Raw genomic sequence first — 14,303 nt, 5'->3', positions numbered from 1 at the left:
CTATGTGATCTAATCCCCACTTCTCTTTTCATTGCATCTGTTCTTGTCATGATGTCCTTTTTATAGTATCATTTTATGTTTTCTGTGTTAGGTCACCAGGCAGCAGGGATTGGAAACCAGGCAACAGGAATTGGACATCAGACAATACCAGTTAGCCTTCCAGCAGCAGGAATGGGTCATCAGGCCAGAGGAATGAGCCTGCAGTCAAATTACCTTGGACTAGCGGCAGCACCTGCAATTATGAGTTATGCAGAATGTTCTGTCCCAATTGGAGTGACTGCTCCCTCATTGCAGCCAGTTCAGGCCCGAGGTGCTGTGCCTACCGCTACCATTATAGAACCACCACCACCACCTCCTCCTCCTCCTCCTCCACCACCACCAGCTCCCAAAATGCCACCACCTGAAAAGACAAAAAAAGGAAGGAAAGACAAGGTATAATAAATTTCCCTTTTTAAAAATTTATTTTTAAAAATTTTATTGAGGTTATATTCACATAACATGAAATTATCCATTTTCAGGCTGGGCACTGTGGCTTAAGCCTGTAATCCCAGCACTTTGGGAGGCCGAGGCGGGCAGATCACCTGAGGTCAGGAGTTCGAGACCAGCCTGCCCAACATGGTGAAACCCTGTCTCTACTAAAAATACAAAAATTAGCTGGGCCTGGTGGCACGCACCTGTAATCCCTGCTACTTGGGAGGCTGAGGCAGGAGAATCGCTTGAACCCAGGAGGCAGAGGTTGCAGTGAGCCAGGATCACAGCACTGCACTCCAGCCTGGGTGACAGAGCAAGACTCCATCTCAAAAAAAGAAAAAAGAAATTGAAATGTCCAGCTTACTTTCTCAGTGGGGGGACCTTATTTAAGAAATCTGTTTGTCTCAAGTGCTGGGAGGAGAATCAGCTTGGGCCCCCATACCTAGTCCTCACATGAGTACAGCACTCAGTCATGTCAACTCCTACTTGTTGAGCCAGCATCACCCAGACGGGTCTTCAAACATACAACTGCTTCTCTTAAAAAGCATAGGGATAAGCTATTAAAGAGGCTGAGGCGGGAGAGTCGCTTGAACCTGGGAGGCTGAGGTTGCAGTGAGCTGAGATCGCACCACTGCATTCCAGCCTGGGTGACAAAAGTGAAACTTTGTCTTAAAAAAAAAAAAGAAAAACGGGGATAAAAATTGGTCTTATCAATATCTAATATATTTGTCAGATACTCTCCCTAGGGGCTTAGGATTTAGCAGTACATCAAACAGACAAAAAAAAAAAAAACCCTCTGCTTTTGTAGAACCTTTCTTCTGGCAGGGGGTGGCTTGGGAGTAGATAAGGGAAAAATAAATCTATGAGAAATATTTTTTTTTCCTTTTTTTTTTTTTTTTTTTTTTTTTTTTTTTTTTTTTTTTTTTTTTGAGTCAGAGACATCCGCCACCACCCCCAGCTAATATGGCAGTTTGCTTTGTTGGTCTTTCCAGCTTTATTTTTTAGCTTTTTTTTTTTTTTTAATCATTTGATAGGAATGCTGCATCTATTTAAAATTTGAAAATGGGAACGCTGTAATTCTGAGGAGACGAGATAAAGGCAATATTTTGAATTGCATAGGGTAGGGAGGTTAAAGGAAATTTATATGACCTGATTTTATAAAATACCACATTTACAAATACCACCTTTTGAAACGGAGTCTCAAGAAAAGGGGCAAAAAATCTGTATGTTTATTATAGACGATTTAGACAATGAAGGTAAGCGAAAAGAAAAAATATTATATCATTATACCTTCTCTTAGAACTAACTGTATCATTGATTTTTTTTGGCAGGGGGAGGGGAGACAGAGTCTCTGTCACCCAGGCTGGTGTGCAGTGGCATGCTCTCAGCTCACTGCAACCTCTGCCTCCCAGTTCAAGCACTTCTCATGCCTCAGTCTCCTGAGTAGCTGGGGCGACAGGCATGTGCACCACCATGCCAGGCTAATTTTTGTATTTTTTATATTTTTAGTAGAGGTGGGTTTTTGTCATGTTGGCCAGGCTGGTCTCAAACTCCTGGCCTCAAGTGATCCACCCACCTTGGCCTCCCAAAGTGCTGAGATTACAGGTGTGACCCACCATGCCTCGCCCCATTGATGTTTTATTTTATTTATTTATTTATTTTTATTTATTTATTTATTTATTTTTGAGATGGAGTCTTGCTCTGTCGCCCAGGCTGAAGTGCAGAGTAGCTGGGACTACAGGCGCCCACCACCACGCCAGGCTTATGTTTTGTATTTTTAGTAGAGACGGGGTTTCACCGTGTTAGCTAGGATGGTCTCGATCACCTGACCTCGTGATCCTCCCGCCTCGGCCTCCCAAAGTGATTACAGGCATGAGCCATCGTGCCCAGCCGATATTTTTAAAAATCTGTTTGCTTTTTTTCATATTTAATTATGGCTATTTATTTATTTGAGACAGAGTCTCACTGTGTTGCCCAGGCTGCAGTGCAATGGTGCAATCTTGGCTCACTGCAAACTCTGACTCCCGGGTTGAAGCGATTCTCCTGCCTCAGCCTCCCAAGCAGCTGGGACTACAGTCGCCCACCGCCGCCGCCACCGCCCCCGGCTAATATGGCAGTTTGCTTTGTTGCTCTTTCCAGCTTTATTTTTTAGCTTTTTTTTTTTTTTTTTAAATCACTTGGGAGGAACACTGCATCTATTTAAAATTTGAAAACGGGAACACTGTAATTCTGAGACGCGATAAAGGCAATATTTTGAATTACATAGGATAGGGAGGTTAAAGGAAGTTTATATGACATAATTTTATAAAATACCGCATTTACAAAGCTTTATAGATTTTATTTATTTATTTATTTATTTATTTATTTTTTTGAGACGGAGTCTCCCTCTGTAGCCCAGGCTGGAGTGCAGTGGTGATCTCGGCTCACTGCAAGATCCGCCTCCCAGGTTCATGCCATTCTCCTATCTCAACCTTCCGAGTAGCTGAGACTACAGGCGCCCGCCACCACGTCTGGCTAATTTTTTGTATTTTTAGTAGAGACAGGGTTTCACCATGTTAGCCAGGATGGTCTCGATCTCCTGACCTTGTGATCCGCCCGCCTCAGCCTCCCAAAGTGCTGGGATTACAGGCTTGAGCCACCGCGCCTGGCCTGCTTTATAGATTTTTAACCAAGCCTTTTTGTTTATAATTGGTAAGAAATTTATGGCAAGAACTTAGAATGGTATTTACTTTCTTTTTTAAAGTGTGCATATTCTTTAGAACTGGGAAAAGGATCCTGACCTCCATTGTAGAGGACGCTTATCCTTATTTTATGTTTTCTATTCCTTTTGACCTTTAACCTTTGTTACAGGCAAAGAAGAGTAAGACCAAAATGCCATCTTTGGTAAAAAAGTGGCAGAGTATCCAGCGTGAGTTAGATGAAGAGGACAATTCTAGTTCCAGTGAAGAGGATCGGGAATCAACTGCACAGAAGCGAATTGAAGAGTGGAAACAGCAGCAGCTGGTTAGGTAAAAGAAAAGGAAACACAGATGAGATGGGGTTTTGGAGTAGGTTGAGACCTACTATGAGATGGAGTAGGTTGTGGTTGTTATAGATGCATTAGAATAGACATATTCTTAAAATCACAGCTTGTAAATTTATCTAAAGGTTTCTAATTTATAAACATGTTTAATTCCTTATAGAAATTATGGGCTAGCCTTTTTTCAAAATCAGAAACAACAGAGTTGTAATACTTTGTCCAGTTGATTGTTGGTCTTAGGCAAAGGCCTGTCTTAACTCTCAGTACATCATTTACTATCTAGATCCAGTGGACCCTTTTATACACACACACACACACACACACACACACACACACACACATACACACATAACATATTAACTTATTTTACAAATAATTTATAGAATTAGACCCTTTTATACACACACACATTATTGTACAAATGATTTACAGAATTAGAATAAAGTTTTTCCCCTGTCCCTATATTTCAGTCAAGCAGGGTAGAATACAGAGCTGCCTTCTCAATTGCACTTATTCTAGAACAGAAGTTAATGAGAGAGCACACCACACTAGGAACTAAATGAACCTCTTCTAGGTAAGAAAATCCTTCACTACCTTGCTTGACTAGAATAAAAGGATAGGGAGAACTGGCTTCAAGTAATTGCACCTCAGCCTCCCAGAGTGTTGGGAATACAAGTGTGAGCCACCACACTCAGGTCAGAAATATTTTTTATGATGAAAGCACATGTTGGGCTGGGCACGGTGGCTCACGCCTGTAATCCCAGCACTTTGGGAGGCCAAGGCGGGTGGATCACGAGGTCAGGAATTCGAGACCAGCCTGGCCAACATGGTGAAACCCCATCTCTACTAAAAATACAAAATTAGCTGGGCCTGGTGGCGAATGCCTGTAATCGCTGAGGCAGAAGAATTGTTTGAACCCGCGAGGCGGAGGTTGCAGTGAGCCAAGACCGTGCTATTGCACTCCAGCCTGGACGACAGAGCAAGACTCCATCTCAAAAAAAAAAAAAAAAAACATGTTGGGTGGGCACTGTGGCTCACACCTGTAGTCCTAGATGCTTGGGAGGCTGAGGCAAGAAGATGGCTTTCTCAAAAATTCTAGAAATTTTAAAGACTTTAGACACAGCAAGTACAATTTTTTATTTCATATTTTCCTTGTTTTGAAGGTATACATTCTGAAATGGGCAGCATTCTTTGACTGCAACTCACTGTTCATCAATTGTCAGTGTATAACCTAGAATATAGCTGTCTATTACTGATGCCAGATTTCAAATTAATCTCTGATAGGTTCTAGCTTAGTTTTTATTAAAGGTTCTAATGCATCCATTCTGTTAATTGCAAGATAGAATTTGAATTTTAATCCTTACAAATAAAACTACTTGAAAGAGAAACTCAAAAACATTAGATCCGGCCGGGCACAGGGGCTCACATCTGTAATCCCAGCACTTTGGGAAGCCGAGGTGGGTGGATCACGAGGTCAGGAGTTCGAGACCAGCCTGGCCAACATAGTGAAAACCTGTCTTTACTAAAAATATAAAAATTAGCTGGACATGGTGGCAGGCGCCTGTAGTCCAAGCCACTTGGGAGGCTGAGGCAGGAGAATCGCTTGGACCTAGGAGGCAGAGGTTGCAGTGAGCCGAGATTGTGCCACTGCACTCCAGTCTGGGCAACAGAGCAAGACTCCATCTCAAAAACAGAAAAAAAAACATTAGATCCCAGGGTCCCTGTTGGTAGACTGAGGATTAGATATATCTGCCCTGAAGAATCATAACTCCTGTGGGCTAAGAAAAACTCTAATAGAACGTGTTTCATTTCTTCAGTGTGCCTTTAATGGTTATTGGAGGTATATTTATATAAAATAAATAAGGCCGGGCACGGTGGCTCACACCTGTAATCCCAGCACTTTGGGAGGCCAAGGCAGTCAGATCACCTGAGGTTGGGAGTTCGAGACCAGCCTGACCAACATGGAGAAACCCTGTCGCTACTTAAAAAAAAAAAAAATTAGCCAGGCATGGTTGCACATGCCTGTAATCCCAGCTACTCTGAGGGGAGGCTGAGGCAGGAGAATCGCTTGAACCTGGGAGGCGGAGGTTGCGGTGAGCCGAGATCGCACCATTGCACTCCAGACTGGGCAACAAGAGCAAAATTCCGTCTCAATCAGTCAATAATAAATAAATAAATATGCACTTAGACATATACGTAAAACTGGGGTAGTGTTTGGTTGACCTATCAGAATGAAGAAGTTTGATGAAGAATATACTGATGTTTGGCTGAGAAACAAAAGATTTTCATAAACATAGACGTGATAGATCAGGTTTTTAATTTCAGTTAGATTTTTATTTGCTGGGAAATGAATACTTTTGTTAATTTTTCTTTCCACTAAAATAATCTGTATGTTGTTTTCACAGTGGCATGGCAGAGAGAAATGCTAATTTTGAAGCCCTTCCTGAGGATTGGAGAGCAAGGCTGAAGAGAAGGAAAATGGCTCCAAACACATAGTTTTTAAGTTTTTAAAACTTTTTTGTATTATTGTTTGTTTTGTGTTCAGTTCAAAGTCTTAACCAGTTTTATTGTCAAATAAACTATAAATGTTATGGGGGAGATCTTATAAATTTCCTGGGCAAGAGTGTATGCATACAAAGTTTTCACTTTTGTGAAATGTAATTTTTCTGTTTTTGCAAAGGGATGAGGTGATTGGAATTGCTTTGACCATGCTGCCTTTATTCTCAAACTGGCAAACTTAGCATGTTAGGTGTATTAACCTCATCAGTCTTGAAGAACATGTGGCTCATGAGTATAACACTTCTGTAGAGGACTCCCTGACAAAAGTGAAGAATTAACTTCTCCTCCAGAACAAGTGCAATTCAGAAGGCAGCTCTGCATTCTACCTTGCTTGACTGGAATTGTCTGAAGCTTTTTCTGGCCTCTTTTCTCTAGTCGGCCACCCCTGAAGTGCTGAGGTCTAAGTGGTTTACCTCGTGCTGATAGATGGCCACACTCTTTAGAGTAGTTCTCATAAGTTCTAGAACTGGTAGCTCGGTCGTTTCGCACACTAGGTGGCATACAGGCAGCAGCAGGTGTTCATATCCTTGATTTTGAGAATTTCCCCTCAAGTATGTGGCAGTAAATACAACAAGACACTCTATGTATTAATGTCTCCATTGTCTTAACCCTGTTCCAAAACAAAATTCACCTCCTTTCTTTATGTGAATGTATTCTCCATAAAATTCCAGTATTTAAAAAGCAGTTTACTGTTCTGTACTTTCTGTTGTATCACAATCAGGTAAAAGTCACTTTAAACTGAGGAAACGGCAAATTGTGTTTTAAAGCTCTTTGTATTTCTCCAGTTTCTGACCTTGTAAATTTGTATATATGCACTAATAAAGCTTTTTTTATAATCCTGATGGGTTATCCTTTTGCTCGTCAACTCCTGTTATTCTGATTATGTAACCAGGACTTGTTTTTTTTTCTAAGCATATACAATGCAAGGTGCAAACATTTAACAACAGCTTTCAAGAAAATGAGCAGGAGATCTTTAATGGGGAGTGGTGGGGCCAGTTTAGACAAACAGGCTTCTAGTCCCAGATGGTGCTGTGTGATCAAAGTTTTGGGGTCTAATATTATCTATAATATCTAGATTGGTTAATAGCCATATTAGATAATATTTTACCTACTTAATTCCTGGCAATGATGTAATATGGTTAACATTTCAGAAAAAAAGGTGCTTTATAGCTTTTTTCCCCCCACTGATAAAAGTAACAGATACGGTTATATTCATATATAGTTAACCAAAGACACGTGTTTGAATTTTATTGTAGTATATTTATTTTTTTGTTGTTGGTTTTTTGTTTTTTTTTTTTCTGGAGACAGAATTTCGCTCTTGTTGCTCAGGCTGGAGTGCAATGGCACGATCTCGGCTCACCGCAACCTCCGCCTCCCAGGTTCAAGTGATTCTCCTGCCTCAGCCTCCCGAGTAGCTGGGATTACAGGCATGCGCCACCACACCCAGCTAATTTTGTATTTTTAGTAGAGATGGGGTTTTTCCATGTTGGTCAGGCTAGTCTCCAACTCTCGACCTCCCAAAGTTCTGGGATTACAGGCGAGAGCCACCGCGCCTGGCCTGGAGTAAATTTCTATGCATATAATTGATTTTTTTAAACCTAATCAAAATGTGTGATTTGAATTTGTTAGCTCTGTTTCTTAAGATTTGCAGTGTAGAAGGTAATTTTTCCTTTCTAGCTGTGCAGTGGAGAGAATGTTAAGGTGAAAGGAGAGAAGCAGCAGCTCTCTTAGAGCAAATTATGCATAACAGTTATCTAAAGCCAACAGCAAACCAGCTTGGAAGTATGTTGAAGGCTACTGGCATCGTACTCATCAATGCGGTTTCGATTCCGAGGCTGGGGCTGTGATGTATGAGGGGAAGAAAGCCGCTGCCCGCCATACATGTTGCAGACCTTCCCGGGGTCCCCGCTCCCTCCTTGGGGGCGAGGCCTAGCTCCCCGGAAGCGCCCGACCGCCCCGCCCTTTCTCCGCTTCCTGCTTTCGGTTGCTAGACTACCCGGGCCCTCACAGAAGGCGGTGGCGGGCGGGTGCAGCGAGTTTGTCCCCTTGCCCGCACACTGCTTGGCCTCTGTACTTAAGTGCGGTGGCCGCCTGCCTCGCTGGAGCTTCTCTGCCGCAGCCATCCGTGCTGCTTGGGACGGGCCGGGGCGCGAAGGCGGTCGCATCCATCGCTCTGCCCTCCTGGGAAGTTTCTGCTCTCCTTCCCCGCTCCTACCCTTAGGAAACCCCCTCACCACCTGCCCCAGACCAGGTTCCTCTGAACCCTAAATTCAATCTTTAGGGCCCACTTTCCCAACCCCCTGACCTTTTTCCATCGGCACCTACCGAGACGACTTCGTCGCGTGCTCCCATACCCATTTCTTTCACTTTCCTGTGGCGAGCATCTCCTTTCTCAGGGAAAGGGAAGCATGGGGCCAGCACCTTGGGAAGAAGAAGCGGGAAGATACGCTGCCCTCCCTGTCTCAGATGCACCTCTGGCCTCGGCGTGACCACCTTGTTTAGCTGAGGAGAAGCTGGGTTGGCAGGGTTTTCTGAAGTCAAGAGGGAGCTGGGGGGCGCCCGGGGAGGTATTGGCAGTTTTTTCACTTGTCCTCTTGTGGCTTTGTAGCTTCTCTTGTGTAATCAGCTGCCTATTTGGAAATTGGGCAGGGTTTGCGACTGGATGCTAATGTCACTGACTAGTTTTCAGCCTACCATCCAGAAGTAACATGTTCCCAGCTTTGGAAACGCACCTAAAGCAGGTCGGTACACAACACGGAAAGCCACAGAAATTTCTTCGGGGAACTCCATTTCTTCGGGAACTCCACAGAAATCTGCTACTAGATGAGAAGGGATGTTCTGGTGGCATCTTTTCTCAGCTGGAGATCTTGATCCCCACGATAGAATAATTCGCATGGAATGCAGCTCGCTTGGTTTAGTCTAGTCCTATGCAACAACGCTCATGTACTTTTTGTTGAGTCTATTATGGTTTGAAAACATTATCTTGATTGAAGTGGCCTTTCCTTTCACAGACTATTCCTGATCCTTATGAAGACTTTATGTACCGTCACCTCCAATATTATGGCTACTTTAAAGGTAATACCATGTTCTTATCTAGTATCACCTTTCCTGGACTCAAGAGGAAAATTGCTTCGTTAGCTGGGAGGGTTGCACTTGGGTAGACTAATAAATAATTTGCATTGACAAATAAATACTTTTTCCTCTACCATTAGTGAAAAGTACTTCCTTTCCCCATTGATCTGCGGGTCACCTCTGTCAAGTAGACAGCATCACTTAATACAAAGGTCTGTTTCTGGGCTCTCTATTCCATTGGTCTGTTTGGCTATCCTTTACCAGTATCACTGTCTCTTAATTACTATATGGCATTAAAATAGTCTTTATCTGGAAAGACATGTCTTCCCACCTTGTTCTTCAGAAGTGTCACGGCTGTTCTTGAGTCTTTGCCTTACTATATAAATTTTACAATTGGCGGCCGGGCACGGTGGCTCACACCTGTAATCACAGCACTTTGGGAGGCCGAGACGGGTGGAGCACGAGGTCAGGAGATCGAGACCATCCTGGCTAACACGGTGAAACCCCGTCTCTACTAAAAATACAAAAAAATTAGCCGGGCGTGGTGGTGGGTGCCTGTAGTCCCAGCTACTGGGAAGGCTGAGGCAGGAGAATGGCGTGAACCTGGGAGGCGGAGCTTGCAGTGAGCCGAGATCAAGCCACTGCACTCCAGCCTGGGCGACAGAGTGAGACTCTGTCTCAAAAAAAATAAATAAATAAAAATTTAAAAAAATAAATTTTGCAATTGGCTTATGACATTTTATTTTATTTTTTATTTATTTTGAGATGAAGTCTCACCCTGTCGCCCAGGCTGGAGTGCAGTGGCACGATCTCGGCTCACTGCAACCTCTGCCTCCCAGGTTCAAGAGATTCTCCTGCCTCAGCCTCCTGAGTAGCTGGGATTACAGGCACGAGCCACCACGCCTGGGTAATTTTTGTTTCTTTCTTTTTTTTTTTTTTTTTGCGATAGAGTCTCACTCTTTTCACCCAGGCTGAAATGCAATGGCGCAATCTCGGCTCACTGCGACCTCCACCTCCTGGGTTCAAGAGATTCTCCTGCCTCAGCCTCCCAAGTAGCTGGGATTACAGGCGCCCACCACCACTCCCAGCTAATTTTTTTGTGTATTTGTAGTAGAGACGGGGTTTCAACATGTTGGCCAGGCTGGTCTTGAACTCCTGACCTCAGGTGATCCACCTGCCTAGGCCTCCCAAAGTGGTGGGATTACAGACGTGAGCTTACCGCGCCCAGTGTTTTTTTTATTCTTGAGACGGAGTTATGCTCTTGTTGCCCAGGCTGGAGTGCAGTGGTGCAATCTAGGCTTGCTGCAACTTCCACCTCGCGGGGTCAAGCGATTTTCCTGCCTCAGCCTCCCAAGTACCCAGGTAGCTGGGATTACAGGCGTGTACCACCATGCCTGGCTAATTTTGTATTTTTAGTAGAAACGGTTTCACCATGTTGGCCAGGCTGGTCTCGAACTGACCTCAGGTGATCCACCCACCTCAGCCTCCCAAAATGCCAAGATTACAGGCATGAGCCACCACGCTCGGCCTAATTTTGGTATTTTTAGTAGACACAGGGTTTCCTCATGTTGGCCAGGCTGTTCTCGAACTCCTGACCTAAGGTGATCCACCCACCTTGGCCTCCCAAAGTGCTGGGATTACAGGCGTGAGCCACTGTCCCCAGCCCGCTTATGACATTTTAAAAGATTATAGGAATTGCATTAAATCTGTAGATCAAATTTCACAAGAACTGGCAATTTTTCAACACTGGGTTCTCCAATCTATGACTATAATATTTATCTCCATTTACTTAGGTCTTTAATGTCTCCCAATAAAGATTTATAGTTTTTCATAATACTTCATATTTTTATGCTATTATAAATATTGATCTTCTTAAAATTTAATTTCCTAACTTTGTTACTGGTATATTGAAATAAGATGGAGTAATATTCATTGTATTAGTATTAATTTTATTTCTATCAAAGAATGTTGTTAAACTTTTTTATTAACTACATTAGTCCCCCCTTATCTACAGGGGGGAGGTTCCAAGGCCCCTGGATGGCCTGAAACCACTGATAGTACTAAATCCAAATCACTGTCATTCAGAACAGACTTCTATCTTCCACCCACAAATTTAATGCCTTTTCCACCATAACTAAGTACTTATGTACTGTGGCCATTACTTTTGCAATATGAAGTATGACAGCAAAACTATTATGATATTTATTTATTTATTTTTTAGACGGTCTGTTTTTTGCCTTGGCCGGAGTGCAATGTTGCAATCACAGCTCATTGCAGCCTTGACTTCCCAGGCTTAAGCGATCCTCCTACCTCCCAACTAGAAGGGAACACAAGCACATGCCAGCACACCCAGCTAATTTAAAAATTTTTTTTGTAGAGACATGGTCTTACTATGTTGCTCAGGCTGGTCATCATACAATTTTTTACTTTCCATACAAAGTCAAGAACTTCAGGCCGGGCGTGGTGGCTCACGCCTGTAATCCCAGCACTTTGGGAGGCCAAGGTGGGCAGATCACCTGAGGTCAGGAGTTCGAGACCAGCCTGGCCAACATGGCAAAACCCTACCTCTACTAAAAATACAAAAAATTAGCTGGGCATGGTGTTGCACGCCTGTAATCCCAGCTACTCGGAAGGCGGAGGCAGGAGAAATGCTTGAACCCGGGAGGCAGAGGTTGCAGTGAGCTGAGATTGCGCTACTGCACTCCAGATTGTTGAAGTTTCAATACCCTCTTCATGGGGAGAGAGACATTCAGGGAGGGGTTGTGTAGGCAATTGTGAAAGGTAGTAAATGATATTCAGGAGAAACGAATGAGCTCCAAAAACCATGTCCTGGGACAAAGTTCCTCTGAGCTCCGGGGAGGGGTGGCAAGCAAGTGAGGGGAGGAGCTTCACTGAAGAAAGGTTGTCTTATGCAAATAGTTGCCCAGGTAATCTCTGAGTTGCCCTCAGAATTGATGAAAAGTCTATCTGGGTGTCGTGACAATTTTTAGTCTCCTCTTCGGTGGTTCATCTTTAGTGGTTATTTGATGAGATTCCTAGGGAAGGGGTCTTAAAATAACTGCTTTTCTTTTGGAAAGAAGTTTCCTTAGAAGGAATTCCAGAGAGGAGTCCCTTCCTGCTCTTGGGGTAGTGGGGAGACAGGAGAGGTCAGAAAGTCCTTGATTCTGAGGCAGCTTCTGCAAGCCTTTTCTATTTTTTTTTTAATTTATTTTTTCAACTTTTATTATAGATTAGAGGGTACATGTGCAGGTTTGTTACATGGGTAAACTGCATGTTATTGAGGGTTGGAACCCTTTCTATGTTGAATTCAAAGTGTTCAGTATGCCAAAGTGCCAAACCTTTGGGCCATAATTTTTTTTTTCTTTTTTTTTTTTTTTGAGACAGGATCTCGCTCTGTCACTCAGGCTGGAGGGCAGTGGCCTCCACATCCCAGGCTCAAGCAACCCTCCCAGCCTTTGGCTATCATTTTCTGAGTTCCAACACAGCCCTTGTAGCTTCAGAATCTTTCTGCCTGCCAAGTCCTTTCTCACTCCACTACACCAGGCTGCTTCTCAAGTCTCCTCTTCACATCCATTTCCTCAGCTGTAAGGTGGGGATAATTATGCTTCACTCACATAAGTTGGAATATGAAAGCTCTTTGAAAAATGCAGTGTATTCATTGCAAAGGGCTGTGGTGGTGGGTGGTGATAAAAGGAGTAGTGGTTTGGTATTGACCTAGATGTTAGAAGTGATGAGTCGGCCTTCCAGCAACTTTAATTAAACTGCCAATTTTTAGCTCAGAGAGGCAGTTTACCAAACTCTGCTACGCATCAGCATGTTCGGAAGAATAACCCTCAATGCCTGTTGAATGGCTCTCTTGGGGAAAAAGATGATTTGATACCAGACACCCTGCAAAAGGAGAAGCTTCTATGTGAGTAACAATCAGTATGTGTGACCTCTAGAACCTCATTGCCTAGTAACTCCTCTGAGTATTCAGAAGAATCTGCTCTAACATGGGAGAGGCCAGGGAGCAGCCTTGGCCTCTGTTTCTAACACCATTCAAAACTTCTCTCTAAATCTACTTTGGATTACAGGTTTAAATCAAAATACTGTATTTTCTAGCCGGGCATGGTGATCACGCCTGTAATCTCAGCACTTTGGGAGGCTGAGGTGGGAGGATCACTTGAGGTTAGGAGTTTGAGACCAGTCTGACCAGCATGGCAAAACCCCAGCTCTACTAAAAATATAAAAATTAGCCGGGTGTGGTGACACACACTGGTAATCTCAGGACTTGGGAGGCTGAGGTGGGAGGATCACTTGAACCCAGGAGGCGGAGGTTGCAATGAGCCGAGGTTGGGCCACTGTACTCCAGCCTGGGTGACAAAGTGAGATTCTGTTTCAAAAAAAAAAAGAGTAATACACCTGGCATCGTGGCTCACGCCTGTAATCCCAGCACTTTGGATTGCTGAGGCAGGCAGATCACTTGAGCTCAGGAGCTCGAGACCAGCCTGGGCAACACGGCAAAACTCTGTCTCTACAGAAACATACAAAAATTAGCTGGGCATGGTGGCAGGTGCCTGTGGTCCCAGCTACTGGGGAGGCTGAGGCAGGAGGATTGTGTGAACCTGGGAGGCGGAAGTTGCGGTGAGCTGAGATTGCGCCACTGCATTCCAGCCTGGGCAACAGAGTGAGACCCTGTCTCAAAAAAAAAAAAAAAAGTAATACATTGATTTTTACAGTTTGATGGATAATGCTTACTAAGGCTCTTTGCATAGGAGCAGTGGAAAACAGTTCTAGCTAGCTTACACAAAAAAATAATTTTTTGCAGAGACACAGGTTTCTTCTAAAATCCAAGGGGAGGAATCCAGTTGAACTTCTCCCTCAAACCAAACACTGATCCACCCCTCTTTTCTCTACAACCCCCCCTGCTTATCCCCAACCTCCACCGCTACCCTTACACCCCCACCCTCAGAGTCCTACCACCTCCCATCCAAGCTGTCATCATTCAGCCTCCTAATTGGTCTCCTGGCTCCTCTTGTTCTGTGCTGCCCCGCCCCCTCCAATCAATTTTCCACATAGCAGTGTTTTTTATATGCAAATCTGATTAGGTCCCTTTTTTACTTAAAACCTTTGAATGACACAAGATCTGAAAACCGTAAAATACAATATTGTTTTGTTTTGTTTTGAGACGGAGTCTCGCTCT

General features: G+C 43.7%; 2 protein-coding genes across 15 annotated transcripts in view, besides 1 other annotated feature; both read left to right on the top strand.

The window, feature by feature from the left end:
* Positions 1–6,914, top strand: part of FNBP4 (formin binding protein 4) — a 50,848-nt gene extending 43,934 nt beyond the window's left edge. For 9 of the 14 annotated variants that reach the window (NM_001441104.1, NM_001441106.1, NM_001441102.1 and 6 more), the window contains 3 exons: positions 92–432; positions 3,322–3,479; positions 5,896–6,891. In NM_001441104.1, the coding sequence (NP_001428033.1) occupies positions 92–432; positions 3,322–3,479; positions 5,896–5,986 (590 nt within the window). In that variant the 3' untranslated portion in view covers positions 5,987–6,891. Of the gene's footprint in view, positions 1–91; positions 433–3,321; positions 3,480–5,895 lie in introns of those variants that run through there. The other 5 variants (NM_015308.5, XM_047426655.1, XM_047426658.1 and 2 more) reach the window with 3 other exon arrangements.
* The window catches only part of AGBL2 (AGBL carboxypeptidase 2), a 55,779-nt gene continuing 49,514 nt past the window's right edge, over positions 8,039–14,303 (top strand). Inside the window, exons 1-4 of the mRNA NM_024783.4 lie at positions 8,039–8,233; positions 8,658–8,790; positions 9,061–9,124; positions 12,897–13,031. Of these exons, the coding sequence (NP_079059.2) occupies positions 8,758–8,790; positions 9,061–9,124; positions 12,897–13,031 (232 nt within the window). The 5' untranslated portion in view covers positions 8,039–8,233; positions 8,658–8,757. The remainder of the gene's footprint in view (positions 8,234–8,657; positions 8,791–9,060; positions 9,125–12,896; positions 13,032–14,303) is intronic.
* Positions 8,302–8,361: an enhancer, noted in NCBI's record as "active region_4702". NCBI's record gives its function as "activates an Ori minimal core promoter by ATAC-STARR-seq in GM12878 lymphoblastoid cells {active_cell/tissue: GM12878}" and the evidence as "EXISTENCE:reporter gene assay evidence [ECO:0000049][PMID:35858748]".

The sequence above is a fragment of the Homo sapiens genome, chromosome 11 (genome assembly GCF_000001405.40).
Source record: "Homo sapiens chromosome 11, GRCh38.p14 Primary Assembly".
NCBI lineage: Eukaryota > Metazoa > Chordata > Mammalia > Primates > Hominidae > Homo > Homo sapiens.
Note: the sequence above shows the minus strand (reverse complement) of the source record. Positions and strands in the feature narration are given on the sequence as shown.